Raw genomic sequence first — 23,778 nt, 5'->3', positions numbered from 1 at the left:
GAGAAGAGCAAAATTGTCTCTGTGTGTAGATAACTTTACCTTATTTCAAAAAAAAAAAAAAAAAAAAAACCCTAAAGAATCCACCAAAGAGTTGTTAGAACTAATAAAAGTAATAAAGTTGCTGGAATTAATAGAGTTGTATTTATATCACTAACAACAAGTTTTCTGGAAAAGAAATTAAGGAAACAATTCCATTTACAATAACATCAAAAAAGAATAAAATACTTAGGTATAAATGTAACCAAGGAGGTGAAAGATGTGTTCACCTGTATTTATTATACTACATTGTATTGTACAATGTAGTACAATAAAATACTGATTAAAGAAATTGAGGTAGATGAAAGAAATGAAAAGATATCTCAAAGAAAATGAAAGATATATCATGTTTGTGGATTGGAAGAATTTATGTTGTTAAAATGTAAAATTCAGTGTGATCCCTATCAGAATTTCAATGACATTTTTCACAGAAATAAAAACCCAATCTGAAAATTCACTTGGAAGCACAAAAGGCCCCAAATAGTCAAAGCAATCTTGAGCAAGAACAAAGCTGGAGATATCACCCTTCCTAATTTCAAATTATGTTACAAAGCTATAGTAATCAAAACAGCATTTAGTACTGGCATAAAAACAGACCCATAGACCAGAGGAACAGAATCAAGAGCCCAAAAATAAACCCACATATATGCAGTAAACTAACTTTTCACAAGAGTGCTGAGAATACACCACAGGAAAAAAAATTAGTCTCTTCAATAAATGGTGTTGGGAAAATGGGATATCCACATGAAAAAGAATGAAATTAGACCTTTATATTACACTATACACAAAAATCAACTCAAAATGGATTTAAGACATAAACATAAGACCTGAAATTATAAAACTCCTAGAATAAAACATAAGACAAAAGCTCCTTGACATTGGTATTGGCAATTATCTTTTGAATATGACACCAAAAGCACAGGCAACAAAGCAAAAATAAGTAGGACTGCATCAAACTAAAAAGCATCTGCACAGCAAAAGAAACAATCAACAAAATGAAAAGGCCACCTACGGATTGGGAGAAAAGATTTGCAAACCATGTATCTGATAAAGGGTAGCTGGGTGCAGTGGCTCACCTGTAATTCCAGCACTTTTGGAGGCCAAGGCAAGCAGATCACTTGAGTCCAGGAGTTTGAGACCAGCCTGGGCAATGTGGTGAAACCTTGTCTCTATAACAAAAACAAAAATTATCCCGGCATGGTGGTGCATGCCTGTAATCTCAGCTACTCGGGAGGCTGTGGTAGGATCACCTGAGCCTGGGAAGGTAGAGGCTGCAGTAAGGCAAGATCACACTACTGCACTCCAGCCTGGGCAACAGAGTGAAACCCTTTCTCAAAAAAGGGGGGGCTAATATCTAAAATGTAAAAGGAAATTACACAATTGATAGCAAAAATGAAATAGCCTGATTTTAAAATAGGCAAAGGACCTGCATAAACATTTCTCCAAAGATAACATACAAATAACTTTTCAGGTATATGAAAAAATGCTCAACACCACTAATTATAAGGGAAATGCAAATCAAAACTGTAATGAGCTATCACCTAACACCTGTTAAGATGGCTATTATAATAGATAAAGAAAATGTGGCACATATATACCATGGAATACTGTACAGCCATAAAAAAGGATGAGTTCATGTCCTTTGCAGGGACATGGATGAAGCTGGAAACCATCATTCTCAGCAAACTAACACAAGAACAGAAAACCAAACACTGCAGGTTCTCACTCGTAAGTTGGAGTTGAACACATGGACACAGGGAAGGGGATATACACTGGGGCCTGTTGGGTGCTGGGGGGCTAGGGGAGGGATAGCATTAGGAGAAATACCTAATGTAGATGATGGGTTGATGCGTGCAGCAAACCACCATGGCACGTGTATACCTATGTAACAAACCTGCACATTCTGCACATGTATCCCAGAACTTGAAGTATAATTTTAAAAAAAAGATGGCTATTACAAAAAAGACAACAGATGACAAGTATTGGCAAGGATATGGGGAAAAGGGAATCCTTGTATACTGTTAGTGAGAATGTATATTGGTACAGCTATTATGGAAAATATGGAATTTTCTGAAAAAATTAAAAAATAGAACTGCCATATGACCCAGCCATCTCACTTCTGAGTATATCTAAAGGAAATGAAACCAGTGTCCAAGAGATATTTGCACTTCCGTCTTCATTGCAGCATGATTCACAATAGTCAAGATGTGGAAACAATTTAAATGTCCAACAGATGCATAGATAAATTATGACATATAAATACAATGTAGTATTTTTCAGCCTTAACAAAAAAAAAAAAAAAAGAAGAAGAAGAAGAAAATCCTGTCAGTAACAACATGGGTTGACCTGGAGTGCATTATGCTAAGTAATGCAGGCACAGAAAGACAAATACTGTGTAATCTCACTTAAATGTAGAATCTTTAGAAGTAGAAGTTACAGAAACAGAGAGTAGAATGGTGGTTGCCACAGGCCGTCGAGAGGGCAAAAGAGGGAGGTTATGGTTAATGGGTACAAAGTTTCACTTATACAAAATAAGTTAAGTTCTGGTGATCTACCATATAACATGATGCCCGTAGGCAAATTTGCTAGGAGAGTAGATCTTATGTTAAGTGTTCTTACCATACACACACCAAAAACAATAACAATAATAATGGTAAAGCAGGCGTGAGAAAACTTGAGGAAGTGATGGATATGCTTATGACCTTGATAATGGTAGTGGTTTCTTGGGTGTATACTTCTCCTCAAACTCATTGAGATATATACATTAAATATGTGCAGCTTTTTATATGCCAACCATGCCTCAATAAAGTTAAAAAGAAGCATCTAATGTAATCAAATAGATTTTCTGGTTGGATATAGTTTCATAGAAATTCAAGTATTACCAAAAAAATAATGGTAGGGTTATGGGCAGGGGCATCAGTGGTTTGATTTCTACTACTCAGTGCTTTAGCATCTGTACAAGGTACAAAGGATTTGATTCATAATTTTATTTGACTCACAATGTGTCTCTGTCGAGTTTGCAAGTGGAACTTCAAGCTCAACTATATGGAAACCAGATGACTGTTTAAATTTGAAGACAGAGAATAGAAAAGGATGGAATTCCAAAGTACTGTATCCAGAACACATAGAAGCTATGACTCACAAAGTCAAGGAGAGATGACTTCTTTTGGCATTTAAGATTAGCAACACCTTTAGGTCTTGACCAGTCATTCTCATAAAGAATGAAAATTCATCCTCCCAAGTAGTTAATGCATAAAAGAAAGCCTTTCCTCAAGAAAGAGCCAACATTTTCTTAATAGCATCCTATTATCTCAAACTCTAGAACGACTATGGAGAGGCAGATTATATTTTGTTTCTCTCAGAGAAGATATAAAGTTTTATCCACTTAAAGCTTTTTTTCTCCTAAAATCATCATCTAAACTGAATTGAAATATAATTTTATGAGAGAAAGAATTCACAATTTCTAACCGATGAATGGTTGTGAATAGCAAAAGCTCAGAATTTTCATTTTAAAAAGGGATTGGGGGAAAGAAGGTGATACTATGGGAAGAATATTGATCAAGGAGATAGGAGACCCAAGTTTTAAACCTAATTCTGGTATTAACCAGCTATGTGAACTTGGATCAGTAACTTTACACCTTTAAGTCCTAGTTGCTTTCACTCTAACTTGATAGAATTAGATTAGGCGATCTGGTCTCTAATGCATATGATTCTGAAAAGAAGGGGGATATCTTTCTTTGAAATTATATGGACTTTATTATCTAATAAGAAAAAAGTCAGAAGAAAATAAAATGAGTTATATGGATATCTAAATCTAACATCTATTAACTTGGAAGTGAGCATCCATAAAGCCCTTGCAGTTCTCTGTGCTTTGCAGCTCTTTCCTCTACATTAGATGGAGGTGGACGAATCAAAGAGAAGTGTACTTTTTGTTCACTGAAAGCTTTTGGCATATACATCAGCTAGAGTTGGTGTGACATTGCTGGCTACTGTGTCCTTTTCTTCTGGTCTGGAAATTCATAGCTAACTTAGGGAATTTATAAAGCATTTGCGTTCTCCGTTCTTTATCAATCACTGACAGACTCATTGTTTTATAATGTACTTCTCAGCAAGCTGTTTGTGACTCATCGCCTGCTTGCTTTATAGTCTATAAATATTTAATTCTTTAATAAACTGCTTATATGTAATATAAAATGACTGATGCTATTCTCTCTCTGCTCTTTTAATAGTGCTACTATTTGCAAAACAATTCTCTTTTTTTCTAAATAGCAATATGTTTCACAAATGTTTGACTTCCCTTTTTCTAAGTAGCAATTTATTCTGGGAGGTTGGTAGAATGACAGGCAGGAAAACAGCCCCTTACTTCTGGGAGTACAATATAACTCTTCCCTCATCCTCACCCCTACTAAGCTGCAAATTGATGAGGTAAAGAAGATGGACTTTGAAATTGTGACAGAGAGCAATCGCCTGTCTCTCTATAGACTCAGTGTGCAAAACAGCCTTTAAATCTCTAGACTAAATGTTTACAATGGACAAATATGGTTCCCTCTTTGCTCGACATCCTTTGTCTAGGGGAATCATAAAAAATAGTCAGGGATAATATACCAACACCTTAGTGTGCCCATCTTTATAACTGTGTACTTGATTTTTTAATGTTGGCTGATGTGCTTTCTGTGCCATGAAATAATTTTTCAATATTTAATGTCTCATTTTTTAAGTTGGATAAGTCAGATGCTTATTGAGTGCTTGTTGTGTGCCCTGCACAGCTGTTAGTGTGTTTTCAAGCAAGCTACTATTATTTGTCTATGGTATTTCAATATAATTTATAAAACCCTACAAATTGTGAACTCCCTTGTGCTAAGGCAGGGAGGAAAAATTGGAGAAACCAGAACAAATAACATTTCTTCAGTGCTACCATTAATCAGGTACATTTGATCTTGGAAAATTCGTGGGGAGAGTGGGGATAGAACATTTGTTTCCAAGTTTGAAAATCTTGATTTATATGCTACTTCCGTGATGTATTAGCTATTACTTTAAGCTTTTCACCTACGCTTTTTTACCTGTAATATGGGCATAAAAATTATGCAGTTTATATGAACACCTGACATATACAGGTTTACTTTGTTTTATTACCCTCCTCTGCACTTCACAGATATTGTGTTGGTTTTTTTTTTTTTTTAACAAATTGATGGTTTGTGGCAACCCTGGGTGAGCAAGTCTGTGGTGCTCACTTTGTGTCACATTTTGTTAATTCTCTCAATATTTTAAACTTTTCAGTCTATTACGGTGTTCTGTGGTCAGTGATCTTTGATGTTACTATTGTAATTGTTTTGGGATGCTATGAACTATGCTCATATAAGATGGCTAACTTAAATTATCAATGTTGTGTGTATTCTGACTGCTTGAGCAAGTGGGCATTCCCCCATCTCTGTTGCTCTCTTCAGGCCTCCCTGTTCCCTAAGACCATATGGATGTTAGACACAACAATATCGAAGTTAGACCAATTTATAACCCAACAATAGCCTCTAAAAAGTGTTCAAGTGAAAAAAAGAGTCACATATCTCTCGCTGTAAATAAAAAACTAGAAATGATTAAGCTTAGTGAGGAAGGCATGTAAAAAGTGAAGATAGGTCAAAAGCTAGACCTCTTGCACTAAACACTTAGTCAAGTGGGAGTGCAAAGGAAAAATTCTTGAAGGAAATTAAAAATGCTACTCCAGTGAAGTAGTGAAAGTGAAACAGCCTCATTGCTGATAATGGAGACAGTTTTGGTGGTCTGAATAGATCAAATTAGCCACAACATTCCCTTAAACCAAAGCCTAATCCAGGGCAAAGCCCTAACTCTTCAATTCTGTGAAGGCCAAGAGAGGCAAGGAAGTTGGAGAAGAAAAATTTAAAGCTTACAGCGGTTAGTTCATGAGGTTTAAGGAAAGAAGCCATCTACATAACATAAAAGTGCAAGGTGAAGCAGCAAGTGTTGATGGTAAAGCTGCAGCAAGTTACCCAGAATATCTAGCTAAGATAATTGATGAAAGTGACTACGCTAAACAACAGATTTTGAATGTAGAGGAAACAGCCTTCTATTGGAAGAAGATGCCATCTGCGACTTTAATAGCCAGAAAGGAGAAGTTAATGCTTTGCTTCAGAGCTTCAAAGTACAGGCTGATTCTCTTGTTAGGGTCAGCTGGTAATTTTGAGTTGAAGCCAGTGCTCACTTACCGTGCCAAAAATCCTGGGGCCCTTAAGAATTATGCTAAATCTACTTTGCCTGTTCTCTACAAATGGAATAACAAAACCTACATGACAGCATATCTGCTTTCAGCATGGTTTACTGAATATTTTAAGCCGACTTTTGAGACCTACTGCTCAGAAAAAAAGATTCCTTTCAAAATATTCCCAAGTTTTATCTCATGATAAAACTTGAGTGGATAAGGAGTTGCTTCTTATGAATAAACAAAGAGAGTGGTTTCTTAACATGGAATCTACTCCATCTTGAGATGGAGTCTGCTGTGAACATTGTTGACATTGACAACAAAGGTTTTAGAATAATATATAAATTTTGTTAACAAAGCAGCAACAGGATTTGAGAGGATTGAGTCCAATTTTGAAAGACATCGTACTGTAGGGAAAATGTTGTCAAACAGCACACATGCTACAAAGAAATCTTTCATGAAAAGAAGAGTCAATTGACACAGCAGACTTCATTGTTGTGTCATTTTAAGAAACTGCCACAGTCCAGTCACAAGAATTGCTTGAACCCTGGGTGTGGAGGTTGCAGGGAGCCGAGATCGTGCCACTGCACTCCAGCCTGGGAGATGGAGCAAGACTCTGTCTAAAAAAAAAAAAAAAAAAGAAAAGAAAAGAAAAAAGGAACTGCCACAGCCACCCCAACCTTCAGCAGCCACCACCCTGATCAGTCAGCAGCCATCAACATCGAGACGAGACCCTTCTCCAGCAAAAAGATTATGACTCACTGAAGCCTCAGATGATTGGTAGCAATTTTTAGCAATAAGGTCTTTTAAATTAAGGTATGCACACTTTTCAGACATGCTATTGTACACTTACTAGACTATACAGTATAGTGTAAACATAATTTTTATATGCACTGGGAAACAAAAAAAATTCGTGCTACTCACTATATTGCAATATTAACTTTGTTGTGGTGGTATGGAACCAAACCTGCAATATCTCTGAGATATGCCTGCAGTAGACCCTAAATAATGTTAATTTTCTGAGTAAATGTTCCACTCTGAAAGAAGAACTTCAAGACAAATTCAACAATCAGCAAATGTTGTTAATGCAAAGATGATATTAACTTTATGTAAATAGGGCCTATAATTTCAATTGTTTATATAATAATAGTGATGGGCTACTTTAAGCAGTAAACACTTTAAGTTGAGGCTCCTTGTTTAACTGACAGCACACGTTTGTAAGGAGACTCATTAGGGTCTTTTGCTTAGGAGCAGAGAGTTTTTTTATGCCAAACTTCAGGTCAATCTTTTATCCTTGTATGATCAATCTAAGTGAGCTAATATGCTTATACAAATTAAACTATTCTAGCCTTATGTTCCCTGTACCCCTCTTCACTTTATATGATATTACTTCTTATTTTACAGATATGATTCTGTTTTCTTTCATTTAACATGCACATCACAAACGGGCTTCCATTTTACTCTCCTTAAAGCAAAATTGCCTGTGATGCCTTTAGTATAAGTTTCTACCCTGTTTAAATATCATAAATTTAAACTAGTTTAGGTGTAACCTCGATTTTTTTCTAGTGAGTTCCATTTCCCATGGTGTAGTGTCTCATCTGCTTCCAAAATAGACTTTCACCTTTCTTCCTCACCTGATCTATGATCTAAGATCAGTCATTGTCATATCTAATTATTTACTTTGTGTAGTATGTTTTGTTGAAAGATTATGAAGATCAGTGAAAATAGATCATCTTAATAATAAAAGTAACATTATTTTCATTATCATCTTTATTTATTGAGTTCCTACTATATACCTAGTATCATAGCAATTCTGTGCGTTGCTTTAGGATATGTAAAATGTTTTTCATTTAATCTGACTCTATGAGGTCCAAATTCTGGATTCACAGATGAGGAAAATGAAGTACAGACAAGTTAAGTAGCTTGCTCAAAGTCACACAGCTAGTAAGTAAGTAAAATTAGGATCCCATTATATGTCCTGTTGATTCCAGAACCTATGCTTTGCCATACCTCCTTTTGAGAAGCTCAGCAAAATGTGTTTTGTTGTTGTTATAACGTGATAGGCATGGTTTCTATCTCCATTTTAAGAGTGCCACTATTCATTGAAAACAAAAATTGTATCAGTTCACTTTCTTGTGATGCCTTTCTTTTAAAAGAAACAGTGTATGTGAAAGTGCTTTGTACATTGTAAAGTCCTAGACAAATATAAGGTATAATTATAATGGGAATTAATATGAAGCACTTTTATTATAACTGTGTTGATAGTTATGTATTTTTATCCCAAAGACAGGTATATCTTATTCTGTGTGATAAAAAAAAAATTCCTGAAAATTTGTAAGTAATTTTACAAAAAAAATGTAAAAACATAATACTATTTTTAATGCCCATAGAGGCTTGTTAATTCTGGGTGAAGCCTGTAACAAGTAAAGAATCCATTTGTAACGTGACTAATTCTCTAATTATCTGTTTCAAATCTTAAATTTTTTACAATTAAAGTTTTTAAAGGAGGACATTCTTAAATAATGTTGACTGGCACCTTTAATCTCTTGAAATACTATCAAAAAGACATCATGGGAAAGCTGCTAACTTATTTTTGAGGCCAGGAAACATCATAATTAGAGCTATATATTACAGAATTCCTAGGTCTGTATTATTCCAAAACCTGAACTATCATCCCTTCACATTGAGATCCACTAAAATATGGACAAACATATTTCATTAGAAAAATATTTAAATGCTTATCTAGAAATCAGTTCATATATTTCATATATGCATTGAACACACATATTGCACAATACTCAAATTTGGGAGATATTATGAGAGTCCACATGTTATTTCTCTAGTTTCATTTACTTTCAGATAACATCTGATTCTATTAAATGCTATTCTTTATTTTTTTAAGACCAATGGAAACTTTTAAATATTCTTCTGTAATTCTTATTTTTATGTATTTATTTATTTATTTTTTGAGATGGAGTCTTGCTCTGTCACCCAGGCTGGAGTGCAGTGGCGCGATCTCTGCTCACTGTAACCTCTGCCTCCTTGGTTCAAGCGATTCTCCTGCCTCAGCATCCCAAGTAGCTGGGACTACAGGTGTGTGCCACCACACCCAGCTAATTTTTTGTATTTTTAGTAGAGATGGGGTTTCACCATGTTAGCCAGGATGGTCTTGATATCCTCACCTCATGATCTGCCTGCCTCAGCCTCCTAAAGTGCTGGGATTACAGGTGTGAGCCACCGTGCCCGGCCCTTTTTTTTTTTTTTTTTTTTTTTTTTGTCACAGAGTCTTGCTCTGTTGCTCAGACTGGAGTGCAGTGACGTGATCTTGGCTCACTGCAGCCTCTGCCTCCTAGGTTCAAGCGATTCTCCTGCCACAGCTTCCTGAGTAGCTGAGATTACAGGCATGTGCCACCACACCCGGCTAATTTTTGTATTTTTAGCAGTGGCGGGGTTTTATCATGTTGGCCAGGCCTGGTCTTAAACTACTGACCTCAGGTGATCCACCTGCCTTGGCCTCCCAAAGTATTAGGATTGTGGGTGTGAGCCACCATACCCAGCCTGTAATTAATTCTTAATACAGGACATCCCTCACTTCATAAAACTAAATTCTTTACACTGAATTCTTTAAATTTAATCATTTATTTCATCCTTCTGGAAAATGTTGTTTCTACTTCATGCAAATCTATAAAATACATGCATTATGTATGTATCTATCTGCACATATATAGAAGCACACATAAGCATTGTAATAATTAGTTACAAGTTTTGTGTTAATCTCAAAGTTGGCCATTTAGTTGCATTCTCTTTCATGAGATTGCATTCTTGACTAGACACGGCATTCATAAATGACTATACAATGGCAGTTGGGAGCTGAATTTGAGAAGAAACATGATAGAAAGCACCTGGGTAAGCATAAAAGTAGAGATCAGAAGTAATTGCTTCAAAAGGATATGCTATAATTTGCTTGGTCAAATAAGTAGTATATTTCTAGAAATCCTGATTCAGATCCTTTTAAAAAGTATAGACTCAGGATATAATAATCATGTGTATCAGCTATTCAAATACATTCTCAAAATCCATTTTACTAAAAGTTGAATTTTGGGCATATTTTTGCCTTGCCTTGCTAATAATCTGCATCCTCAATAGATGAAAGAAATTATAGGGAAACTATATGAACCTAATTTTGATCAACACCTAAGAACTTATAGGTTAAAAACAAATAGAACAATAGTCACCCCTAGCCACATGTGACTATTTAAATTTAATAAATTAAAATTAAATGAAAGATTTGGTCCATTGTACTAGCTATTGGTTACCCTATTAGAAATCACATTTCCATAGTTTCCGAAAGTTCTTTTGGACAGTGTTACCATAGACGTTATAAGGCAGATTTTGAAAACCTTCAGACAACGGGTAAATATAACTTCATAGACATAATCTCTAAAAAAAAAGAAGAAGAAGAAGAAAGCTAAAAAAAAATGGAAATAACAAAATAACACTAAAATTGCACCTAACACATATCACATTGTATAGTTATTGACTTATTGCTTATATTGCAACCAGTCTTTAAAGTAGCAGTGTGTTTGTCTGTAATTGATGAATAAAATAATACCCCCCTTTTCAGGAAATGGGGGAGAGGGAAATGTAAAGAAGACCAATGTGATTTCATATTAAATTTAGGTATAAATGATTATATTTAAAATATAAGGAGGAGCATATAAGGGCAAGAATTTGTGGGTTGCTTCTAGGGAAAAGTGAAAGAAAGAGACTTGCGCTGCAGGATTTTCATGTCCTGTTAAGAGATTACTAAATGAGGCCTGGGCACAGTGGCTCATACCTGTAATCCCAACACTTTGGGAGGCCAACACGGGTGGATCGCTTGAGGTCAGGAGTTTGAGACCAGCCTGGCCAATATGGTGAAACCCCATCTCTCCTAAAAATACAAAAATTAGCCAGGCGTGGCAATTTTTGTGTGCCTATAATCCCAGCTACTTGGGAGGCCAAGGCACAAGAATCACTTGAATCCTGAAGGTGGAGGTTGCAGTGAGCTGAGATTGCACCACTGCACTGTAGCCTGGGTGACAGAGTGAGACTCTGTCTCAAAAAGTAAATAAAGAGAGAGAGAGAGATTACTAAAAGTGAGAGAAGGAAGGGGAGAGAGAGAGAATTATTATTCAGATTCTCTTTCTCTGTCAAGAAGAATAGCCTCTAGGGTAGGAAAGGACAAAACTAGCATTGATTAGTGAGGATTGCAGCACAGGATCAGTCACATAGATTGAAAGAGAACAACTCATTACTGGAATTCAAGTCTCCTGTCCCACGCTTATTATTTTCATAGGTACTGTGATAATTTGCCATTGATCCTGAAGAATTACATCTGCAGTTAAGCTTAAGGAATTGCAGATTTAAAAAAAATGCAGTTTGGGAGGGATGCCAAAAGTCTGAATCAGAGGAGAAATTATTCTCAGTTTCATTACTAGGAATAAATACAGGTTCACAAAGAACAAATGTCATCACTTTTTTGATGGTATTATTTCAGAGAGATTTTTTAATAAGAGTATAGCTCAGAGTTTCGGTTTGTCTTTTCCAGAATAAGATCCTAAGGCGAAATCTACTGAAAGCCCAGTAGAGCTTTCAGTAATCTCATAGTGCTGGGAAGACAAAAATCAGGGGTCAGGGTCTGTCAAGGAAATGGGACCTAAGAGATGAGATGAACCAGATGCAACGTAAGTCTTAAAAAGACTATAACCTAGCTTCAAAGCCAATTTACTCTTTTATTGGATTGAGGTAATCTGCCCTTGTTCTATCCTGCTACCTCCCAGGTGATATGGTAATTTTTCTTCAAAAGAAGATATCTTCCAGAACTTCTAAAATTTTTCACACACAATATCTGGCATCCATTCAGTACTTTCTAGGAATAGCAAAACACAGGACCAAAACGGGGGAAAAAAGCAGACAGCAGAAACAGATCCACAGTGAAGTGGATCAGATATACTTATCAGATATGGCTCTTAAATAGCTCTAAAATGATAATATGTTGGAGAACAAAAGAACTGCAGCTTACAAAAGAAGAATTAAATGTATATTCAAGAACTGAAAAATACAGCAACTTAAATTAAGACATTTATAAATAGGCTTAATAGCAGATTAGAAATAAAGAGAGAATTGTTGAGTATGCTAGATCAGTTAAAAAATGCTGAAACCAAAACATGAAGGGATAAAAGGCTGGAAAATAAACAGCATAAAGCCCATAGGAGATACATTGAAAATATTTAATGTATGTGTAATTGGAATCCTACAAGGTAAAAAAAGATTGCAGTAGGTAATTTTCAAACTGCTAAGGACTAACAATTTCCAAAAAGAGGAAAGATATTAAGCCATAGATATCCCAGGCAGGATAAATACAAAGAAAATCACACCTAGGCACATTAGTAAAACTTCTGAAGTTGAAAGAGAAAATCTTAAGTGAAGACAAAAAAAGAAGGCATGCTACTTGAAGGAAGCAGCAATAAGACTGACAGCTGACTTCTCAACGAAATGATGGCGTTCAAAAGACAATGGAATGACATCTTTTAAAAGCAGAAAGAAAATAACTGCCAATCTAGAATTCTGTGCTCCATGAAAATATACTTGAAAATTGAAGATGAAAATAACTGTAAGAAAACAAAAACTGAGAGAACTTATCAGCAGCATACCCAACCTAAAAGAAACACCAAAGGGAGTTATTTAGGTAGAAGAAACATGACCTCAGAAGGAAATGTCAAAATGGAAGAAGAAACACAGAGCAGTGCGTAAGGTGTATATGTGAGTGAGTCTGAATGAATCTTGACTGCAAAATAGAAAAATGAAAATATCTTGCGAGACTTAAAATATATGAATGATGAGATGCATGTCAATAATAACAAAAGGTGGGAGGAAGTAAACAAAACAATACCAATTTCAGTTCTAGCATTGTCTGGGAAGTGACAAAAGTACCAATTTATAATAGACTATAGTGAGTCCGAGATGTATGTTGCAATATTTAGGGTACCACTTAATAGTAAAATAATGTGTTACTACCAAACTAAAAGAGAAAAAATGTAATAAGAAAAGGACTTGATTAATTATAAATGATGCAAAAAAGATTTTGAAGAACGTAAATCAGGCAGAACATATAGGAAACAATAAGATGATATGTATATAATGCAAAATATATCAGTAATTATGTTAAATGTAAATTGACTCAATTTTGCAGTTGAAAGACAAGTTGTTAGACTGGATAAAAGACGAATCCAATAGCCTATAGGCAAAAGAGGAAACTATGGTATAAATTAGAAAGTATTTTGAACCAAATGATAATCAAAACATGACGTGAAAACCTGGGGTTCTATCTAAAGCTGTTCCTAGAGGAAAATGTATAACCTTTAAATACATGTTTAAAAGGAAAAAAAGCTGAAAAATCATGATATAAATATCTCATCAAGAAGCTAGAAACAAAATGTAAAATGAAGCCCAAAGAAAGTAGAAGGCAAAAAATAATAAGAACAAAAATTAACTGAATGGAAATCAAATGTTTAACTGAGAAAATCAACAACAGCAGAACAACAGTGGATTCTTCTCAAATGCACATGGAATTTCAGAAAGATGGACTTTATGTTGGGGCATACAAGTCTTGAGTTGGAATTACATAGAATATTTTCCCTGAAACAGTGGTATTAAGTTGGAAATTTATAGTAATAAGATACCTAGAAAAAAAACAAATATTTAGAAATTAAATAATATACTTAACATGTTTAAAAAATGACAAGGGAATTTTTTTTTAATCTCAACTAAATGAGAATGAATACACATCCTATGAAAATGTGTGTGATGCAGCTAAAGCAGTTGTTAGAGGAAAATATATCACTTTACACATCTGTTATAGGAAGTAAAGTGTAAAATTATCTAAGATTCTGCCTTATGAATCTAGAAAAAGAGAAGCAAATTAAACTCAAAGTAAATAGAAGAAAGGATATTATAAAATTGGGAGTTGAAATAAAAAAATTAACAATCAGATTGATTCTCTGAAAAGATTAATAAAATTGATTTTAAAAAGCTGAAGGAAAAAAACAAATCACCAATATCACAAATGAAATAAGGACATCACCAAAATTCTGACAGATAAGAAAAAGGATAATAGGATATTATTAACAAATGTATTCCAATCAGTTTGATAACTAAGGTGAAATAGACAAATTCTTTGAAAACCCCAGCTTACCAAAATTAACATAAATTAGAAATCTGAATAATCCAAGATCATTTTTCTAAAATTGAATCTGTAGGCCAGACACAATGCCTCATGCCTGTAATACCAGCACTTTGGGAGGCTGACGCAGGAGGATCGCTTGAGGCAAGGACTTCAAGACCAGCCTGGGCAACAAAGTGAGACCCTGTCTGTACAAAAAATAAAAATAAAAACAAATTAGCCAGGTGTGGTGGCATACACTTGTAGTCCCAACTACTCAGGAGGCTGAGGTGGGAGGATCACTTAAGCCCAGGAAGTTGATGCTGCAGTGAACTGTGATCATGCCACTGCACTCTAGCCTGGGTGACAGAGTAAGACTCTGTCTCAAAAAAAAAAAAAAAAAAAAAATTGAATTTGTTATATGAAAACTGTCCACAAAGAAATCCCCAGGCCTCATAGCTTTACTGATTAATTGAATTTAGCATTTAAGGACAAAATAATAATCTTATACAAACTTTTTCAGAGTATAGAGGAGGGAGACACTCTCCAACTCATTCTATGCTATTAGCAAGACCCTGATAACAATGTCAAAGTTATTACATCCCCCAAAAAATTATAGACTAATGTCTCTCATGCACATGGATTCAAAAATTCTTAACAAAATGTTAGCAGGTCAATTATTGCAATATACAAAAAGATTAATATATCATGATCAATGGGGCATTGTCCCAGGATTGCCAGGTTGGTTTAGCATATGAAAATCAGTCATTGTAATTCACTATACTCACAGCTTTAAGCTGTTATTTGTTTCAATAGAGGCTGAAAATGATTTGACAAAATTTAATAACCATTCATGATTTTTTGAAAAATTGTTAGCTAAGGATGGAAGGAAACCTCTTTCACATGATAAAGGGCATAATTCTTAGTAATGAAAGGCTGAATTCTTCTTCCCCTAAGACCATGAACAAGACAGTGACATCCCCTAAGATTGCAAACAAGGTAAGGATGTTTACACTCACCTATCACTACTTCTATTCAACATCGTACTAGATGTCCTCACCAATGAAATAAGGAAAAAGGAATAATTGGCACGATTACTGGAAATGAAGCTGTCTAGTCACAAATGAACTTATTGTGTTGACAGAAAATTCTAAGGAATATTGGTAAAAAGTATCATTTGTGTAAGATATAGGAGAGAGACTATATTAATATCTTCTTAATATATTAATAGCTGGTAGAATGAACAAGAAAACAGTAACAGTGATTACTTATTTGGGGGTTGGGTGAGGAACTCATGGGTAGAAGAGGGAAAAGACAGAGACCTTTTCCTTTCTACATTATTTAAATTATTGATACTTCATTGTAATGTATTACTTATTCAAAAATATAACTTATTTTTGTAAAAAAAAAGACTGAAAGTTGGCATTGCTTCATCATTGTAGTTAAATAATGAGCACCTTTCAGTTCCCAAAACCCTCCATACCAACCACGATAGAACTCTCTTATCAGACTATTCATGTCATGCAACATGAAAATTTCAGAATTATACATACATTTTTAATGGAACTCTTTCATGGGTCTAGTGTGCATTGACATAAGCTGTAGTTTGACTTCTGATTACAGATCATTCACAGTCTATTCACCATGAATATCTATTTAATGCTTTTCCACTCAGCCTTTTACCTGCATTGCTATTTAATAGTGAAAGTAAAGGTTGAATTTTAAATTGAATTTTATTTTCTTTTCCTTATTTCTCTCAAATGGTAACCAACACACTGAAGTAATAATAGTAATGATAGCAGTAATAAAATCTAACACTTATTTAGAGCTTGTTATGTGCAGATACTGTGCTTAATTCTTTACATGTATTCTTTCAAAATTCTATATCCGTAATTCTGGCAACAGAGATGGAAAGTATAAGAGGTTAAATATGAATAATTCAGATTAAATAGCCATTCTCCAAATAATCATCAATTCACTGTACTCTGTAGTTTTGTACACTGTACCAACAGTTGAGAATCGTGTAACAGTTGGAAATTATTGGAGGGGGAGTCTTAAAAGAAACTTATAAATGGAAGTTTTAGAGATTATAGGTGAAGAGCAACAGTATTTAGAACATGCTTATAATCAGACCAGTTCCAGGTCAACGTTATGATGTCATAATAGAAATTTATGCAGATATGTATATCAGATCAAAAATGTCTTCATGTAATTTCAACTGAAGTATAAAATTCTTTTAGCTGAATTATGAAAGTAATTTGAACTCTGTCCACCTGCCCAAGGGAAGTAACAAAATCTCTTTTTTTCCGACTACTGCTTCTTTGACTTTCTTTGTTAATCCTTGGAGACCATGAGTAATAGTCCAAATATTTTATCAGTTTTGAATCCACCCAATAGGCTCATTCACTCTTTGTCCCTCTCTATTTATTGTAAACATGCATTAAGCCACACTGGTAATTTTAACATTCTGAAAATACTAGACAAGTGCAGTTATCATTATCATGAGAATTAACCAACATAAATATTATCAGGCCTCCTTAAGCAGCCGATTTCATCTGCTCTTTAGCAATGTATACTATGATAGCACCAAGAATTCCATCTTTCACAAATACCTGGATCAGTAGGCACTCTACTGCATCCCCAAATTAGAAGTAGCTGTGCTTTTGGCTTCTGAACTGTAGACAGCTCTGGGGGACAGGCACCAAGTTGCCGCTGCTTTCCTCAGCCTCAGACCTAGAAAGGCCTGTCTCAGTGCTCATCTTGGTATACCCTGATAGCTCCCTACATCAGGAGCCCACAGGGGAGACTAATGAAGCAAAGATCGTTCCTGAAAACCTCCTGTACTCAAAATGCCATGCAGTGGCTCTGAATATACTCTTCTTCGTGTATTCTCTCTTCTCCCCTCCCTCCCATATCCGTGCCCTTGTTTAGTTCCAGTTTCCATTAGAAATGCTATTTGGGCAGCAAATTTCGCAGATTGGATCCATCTCAATGCTGCCATGCAAAGAAAACACATCTGTCTGACTCTTCATTTAAAATAAGGGAAAAAATTGAAATAGCAAAATGCTGTAGTCGCTCTGAGCTGTTTCCTAATGAACCTGTTTGTCCCAAGAGCTGTAGTGAGGAGCTTCTCCTCGTTGGTGAGAATTCTTTATGCATATTAATATTATTCATGTTTTCCACGCGACTCCGTCTGACTTGCCCTCATCCCATCCTTTGAATTCATTTAAATAAAAATAATTTATGTGGACATTCCTTCAGTCAGGATTTTCTCTCCCCCTTTCTTGAAGACATCCATAATATTTCGTTGATGCTTTGCGTCCAAACCAAATCGTTATGCTTTTGCATACATTAGGGCTTTATAAAGAACAACAGCGACATCTGCATGTGCCGCAGTGCCAAGGAGATAGGAAAAATACCGAAAACAAAACTCTGTATTGGCTTGGAGGCTGTCTGACTCTCTGTCTCCCTAGCAGCCCCTGACACCACCATGGATAGGAGTAATTGTACAGTGTAATCACATCAGGCCTCATCTGCATATTCATAACAGAGACAAAGCTTTGGAGGATAAGGGGGGAGCCGGGGTAATTTAAATATAAAGCAGCATCTCATTTCCAAATCAAGTTGTGCCAGTTAGACTGTGCACCAGGACTCAGTATTAAGCCAACATTGTTTTACAGTTTGGAAATTGGAGTGAAGAAGATGGAGAAGAGACTCACTAAAGAGGGGGTGATACTACATTTTCATTCTTAACTGAGGAAAAACAAAGCAAGACAACAACAACGGCGACAGAATAAAAATGAAGTAATATTTGAAGAGTCACCAGTAGTGGCTAACCAGCTGCTGTTTTACCAGGAATGAAATAGCCCATTGAGGGAGCTTTAAAAGCCCCCAATTAATATGTTGTGCATGTATAAGATCTACAAAGAACTCACTGTATTCTTTCTCTCCCCACCAAGTCCCCCCCTCCCCAAGTACTCACATATTCCCTAACCACCACCTTTCTGTCCTGTCGGGTGCAGGGGGAAAAGATCAGAGCTACAAAATAATTGACTAATTGCTTCAAAAGTAACAACATCCCTCTTCAAAAAGAAAGGACAAAAACAAACACATACAAAAAGGTGACTGTTCATTAATGAAGGGATAAATTACCGATGGCTTCTTCATTCTCTTTAGTTCATTACCCCCCAAAAGAAACAAATATAATCCACGTGTTAATATTTCTTGTCTTCGTTTTCTTTGTTTCTAATATGATGCTGTTTATTATATATTTTTAAGTGTTGGTATTTGTAGAAGCCTCTGCTACTGCATTCCCCAAAGAGCTACTAGTTTCAGCCCACTGGAGTTTATATTCCTTTAATTGTCTAGTGCAGGAACATTTCTGCTGTTTTGTAAAATACACTGCTCTGCAGGAATTAGAAGAATCCAAGGTTGTATCCAACTTCAAAGGTTTCCAAGTCATAATGATTTTAGCAAAAGTAGAAGACAGATCATGGAACAAGTCCCCGTTTGAAGATAAGCATCATAGGGACCTTTTTTTCTTCCCTCTCTCCCCAACTTTGTACTTCTCCTGGTTCTGAATGCCCCTCACTAACACAGTTTAATGATATGCAAATGAAATATGCATAAAACCATTCTACTGTATGATGATTAAACACTGGAGACATTAACAGCGGAGGCTTCACTCTGTGTAATAATCCTTCCCGACCATCCACTTTGATTGCAGAGTTATGGAAACCCATAGCAGTTGGCAGAGAGAGCGAAAGAGAGAAGGAAGGAAAGACGCAGGGACACATCACCCATCTCGGTGCTTCTCCCACTGCAGGAGAGGTCCCCCCCTTTGTACTGCGTTCCTATTGCTGTCTTTTGTAATCCATCCATGCAGTCGCACCAGAGCGATTAACGGAAAAAACCTCTTTTCTCTTAATGTTTCAAAGCTCATTAGCCAAACGATTATTCCTCATTAACAGCGAAAGCTCATTCATTAAAAGGAAGAATATGCCCAAAAGATGCCAGCGCAGCTAATCCTGAGTCCCGTAACTGGGCTGTAAATCCCATACTACTTGTATATTCCATGCAAAAGGGACACGCGCCAATCCACATTTTTTTTTAAGAAAGAAAAAGAAAACAGTTTATGTGTTTTGTAAAATCCACAAGAGCAGCAATTAATATTCCCATTGAATCACTTTATTTTTTTGTCTCTCCCTTTTGTTTCCAGCGCCTGCCCCTGGCTCAGCGCCCGGTGCCAACAGAACACCTTTCAGGATCCACAGCAACGCAGACAACGTAAGTACCAGCCGTTCCCTGAAACCCTTTTGCAGATTTTTTAAAAACAACCACCTAAAACATAGAGAGAGAGAGACAAGCCTCTTTCCCCTTCTTCTCCCCTGCGTTATGCCACCAGTGTTTCCTCAGTAGCCCCTTCCAAATCGCTCTGCCTTCAAGTTTGTGCATGTCTGTGTGGCATCCCTCCTCCTCCTTCACTCCCATAGTGGATCTTGTAAAAGGGCTTCAGATCGGCCCCATTCATCTCCCTGGTGATAGCAGTGAATGTAGATAAATCTCTGGCTGCCTGCTTGCTGCTGGAGTATGATTTTTATTTTGTCTTCTGTGTATACCTGGGTCAAAAAGTGGGATGTATGCATACACATACATGCACATACACATATTTCCTTCTCTCTCCTCTCTCTCCCTCCTTTTTCTCACACATGCATACATCCTACATATGTGTGTATATGCATAAACATATACACCTATATACATACCCATACCTGTAGCACAAAATATATACATATCTAAACGTTTGTCTGAAAATATGCATATTTATATACACATACAACCTTACACATGTGTTTATACGCAATCGATAGGTGCCTATCTTTTAATTTATACCCATCTATATCTCCATTTAAATATTCCCTCTCTTCTCCCAGCAGAGGCTGTGTGCAATTGCAATCCAGGATTATACAAGCAGTATTCTTTCCTTATGATTTCTAGTTGTAGACCTTTATCCTCCTTTCTCTGCCTTCTTCGCAGCTGTAGAATTGGCATCTTTCCCTGAGGTTTTCCGAGTGGCAAGTGGCACCGGCTGTGGCATGTATTCATGCCGCTTCCTATGGCATTTCTCTTCCGATGTCTGCTTTTTCTTTGTTTGTTGTTGACTAGGCTGAATGGTGGGGTTTTTTTTAAGTTAATTATAAACGAAGTTGAAATAGCAAACAAGCCAACAGCTTGTCCCCCCCACCAAAAGAAAAATTAGCCCCACACAAGCGCCTTCTGCTGCAACAGATGCCCAGATCACCCCTGGCACGGGCAAACGGGCAAACGATTTTGGTGGTTTTCAGTTTTTTCTGTTTGTTGCTGTATTTGTTGTTTGTTTTCCTTGTTTCTTTTTGATTTTTCGAGGAGTCCAGAATCCCGGCCTCTGCTTGGAACGGAACAGTGTCATGGCGGAGACGACGGCCTTTGTCTTGCTGGGTGTGAAAACATCCGCTGTGCTGGCTCCACTGCGGCAGAATCAAGTTTAAAGGAAAAAAAGTGATTAAAGTCAGCTTTGTGCCTCTGTGGTGTGGAAGACCCCCAAACCCCAAGTAGCCGAGTCCCAGGGTCCGAGGAAGGGCTCATAGTTGGAGCAGCCTAGGCTGTAATCCTGGCACTTGCGCCTTCGGTTGCTGCTTGCTGTTCGCTCCTGGGGGTCTGGATAATCTCCCTTGGCTTTACCGCACTGTCTGGCCCGCATACAGGGCCCCGTATCATATACCCGCTGCTGCTATCACACGAAACTGTGGCGTTGCCCCTGAATGGATGGCACGGTGCCAACTCTTCTGCCATCCGCCCTTGCAGCTTTTTTCTTTTCTCCCTCCCTCCCCTTCTTCTTCTCCTCCTCCCGTCGACTTGACGTTAATTAACACTCGGGTTAATTGATTTTAAAAGCCGAAGAATTACAGTTAACTTTTCCCACAGGGTACAGACGCCAGCCGCTTGGCACACTCTGCTTTTCGCACTGGTGCAGGGGAACAGGGAAAGCCCGCAGCAAAGCTAGCAACTGCTGAGGGAGCGTTGCCTGCTTATTGGAGTAGAGCCGATAGAAGTCGACGTGGCATTGCCTCATCCTTTACAATATATGTATCCATTATATATTTTGTTAAATAATCAAAACACCACCCTGTTTTTCTTCTTCTCCGTTCCTCTTTCAAAACAGGAAGACCATTCAGAAGTTCACCTAGAAAGGGATAAAATCTTTCCACCAAACCTCTCTTTCATCCATGATATGCTTTTTTTTCCCAATGATAAATAGCTGGTACCTTAAATTTTTTTTTTTTTTTTTTTTTTTTTTTTTTTTAGGTACAAAAAGAAAGGCTTACCCCTTCCCTAAAAATTACAGACATAGAAGTTTGGTGGTTTTTTTTTTTAAGAAAAAGTTCCGTAAAGTTTTTCTGTTTCAGTGTTTTGTTTTGTTTTGATGTCTCTTGGCTCAAAAGGGTTATTTATGGTGAAGGATTTCAATGAGAAAGTGGGTACATTGTAATTAACAACAAAATTCGTATGAAAGCTCTTTGTTTATATGTCTGTATATCTTGGCTTTTTGTCCCTTTCCCCCCAATCCTCTAGAAAATGAAAGCGACTGATACTGTAGTTGGGAAGAAGACAGGCAAGGCTGGGGACTTGATGCTTTCACCTTTTCATGCTTTCATTTTATTTCATTTTGTTTTTTAAAAGCACGCAGCAAGTGAAGCGACAAGAGGAATCCATTATGCAAATCATGTCACTTTGCATAACGTCTCATGACTAGAATATGCAAATGAACTGTATAATTTATGAGTGCCAGTGTCTGTCTAAGAGTGTTTCACATAATTTACAAAGTGAGCCTGAGAGGCATGAGGAAGGCAGCTCTTCCGATTCCATTGCCAGGAAAGCGCTATATATTTTTCTGTAAGTGATCCCTCATAATATCATCAAGTGCTATTTAAAAGAAATGAAGATTTCAAATGTACATGAAAGGCAAAGATTTTCCTCTCACTTCCTTCACCCATTGATTTTTTTTCCTAAAATTTGCAAGAAACTTGGACTCTAAAGCCTTAAATTTTGGATTTAATTTGGAAAAGAAAAGTTATTTGAGCCAAACTTGCTCTTTGTATGAGGGTTTTCTTTTTTTAAGCAAGGAATGTCTTAGAGAAGCAGACACCTTATCTATTAATATTTGCCTGGACCTATAGAAGGCAGAAGAATGGGATTTCTCATTTTGGTTGGTTTTATGTTTGCCCTGTAACATTTTATAAATAATAGTCTCATGGATGTATTAAATATTGATATGGAATACTCATACAATCAATATTCTTCTGAAGTTATAATTCTACTTTCAGAATAGTCTTCACAGGAGAAATTATATCCAGTAAAAATCAGATTCTAGTTAAGTGAGTTTAATTGGCCACTACGTGTCTCATTGTGCTGACTTTTTTGAGTAGGGGATTCTGAACCTTTTGAGAAGTCATAACATCTTTGATAATGTGGTCTAATCTGTCCTTATAGTTTTCATTATAATCATAAGTTCTGTGAAAGAGAGGTACAGACCATCAGGAAAGTGCAAACCACTGATCCTTAACAAAGAGGACATAATCCTTGGAGGGAACGTCAAAAAGACTTTCTAAAGAAAGTGAATTCAAGGTCAAGTCTGAAAGTTGAAGAGAACTTAACAAAAAGAGGGAGTATTTTTCAGATAGCGATTATATTCAGTAAATCCTGATGCAGAAAAAGAACATGTCTACTTGGAAGAACAAAAATAAGCCCAGTGTGACTACAGTATAGAGAATGGGTTATTGGCTCAATTGGGAACAGATTGAGAGGTAAGCATGTGAAGAGGTAACTTATTCATTATCTGCTTTCGTTTGATGGTGCCTAGTCTCTTATGTTATTATTAATTTATGTGTACAGGTACTTCATTAAGTTTATATGGATAACTACTTCAGATTTCCGAATCCAACCTTATGTGACGTTCCTTCTTTTTGCAAAGTTTCATTTTCAAATAATAGCCATTTAAGAAAACAGGAAAAATGACCCATCTGACGAGAGCAGAATACAAATTATTTTTAAGTGCACACAAAACATTTGCTAAAATAGAGCACATTGTGTTCCATTTTTAAAAAATCAATAAATTTAAATGTATTCAAGTCAAAATATCATCTCTTGACCACAAACAAATTAAACTAGAAATCAATAACAGAATGATATATAGAAAAATACCAAATTTTTGTAAATTAAACACATTTCTAAATGACATGGGTCAAAGAGGCAGTCACAGGGAAATTTTTTTTAAATGTTTTTAGTTAAA

At 36.2% G+C, this 23,778-nt stretch overlaps 2 long non-coding RNA genes across 4 annotated transcripts in view; one reads left to right on the top strand and one right to left on the bottom strand.

The window, feature by feature from the left end:
- LOC124903718 (uncharacterized) overlaps positions 1 to 21,180 on the bottom strand; it is a 109,513-nt gene extending 88,333 nt beyond the window's left edge. Inside the window, exon 1 of the long non-coding RNA XR_007065114.1 lies at positions 17,063 to 21,180. This is a non-coding gene — a long non-coding RNA (uncharacterized LOC124903718). The remainder of the gene's footprint in view (positions 1 to 17,062) is intronic.
- Positions 1 to 23,778, top strand: part of LINC01572 (long intergenic non-protein coding RNA 1572) — a 384,069-nt gene that overhangs the window by 217,845 nt on the left and 142,446 nt on the right. For 2 of the 3 annotated variants that reach the window (NR_159371.1, NR_159372.1), the window contains 3 exons: positions 19,669 to 19,736; positions 20,856 to 20,987; positions 22,170 to 22,868. This is a non-coding gene — a long non-coding RNA (long intergenic non-protein coding RNA 1572). Of the gene's footprint in view, positions 1 to 19,668; positions 19,737 to 20,855; positions 20,988 to 22,169; positions 22,869 to 23,778 lie in introns of those variants that run through there. The other variant, NR_126330.2, reaches the window with a different exon arrangement.

Source organism: Homo sapiens, chromosome 16, assembly GCF_000001405.40.
Source record: "Homo sapiens chromosome 16, GRCh38.p14 Primary Assembly".
Lineage (NCBI taxonomy): Eukaryota > Metazoa > Chordata > Mammalia > Primates > Hominidae > Homo > Homo sapiens.
This window is presented reverse-complemented; position numbering and strand designations above follow the sequence as displayed.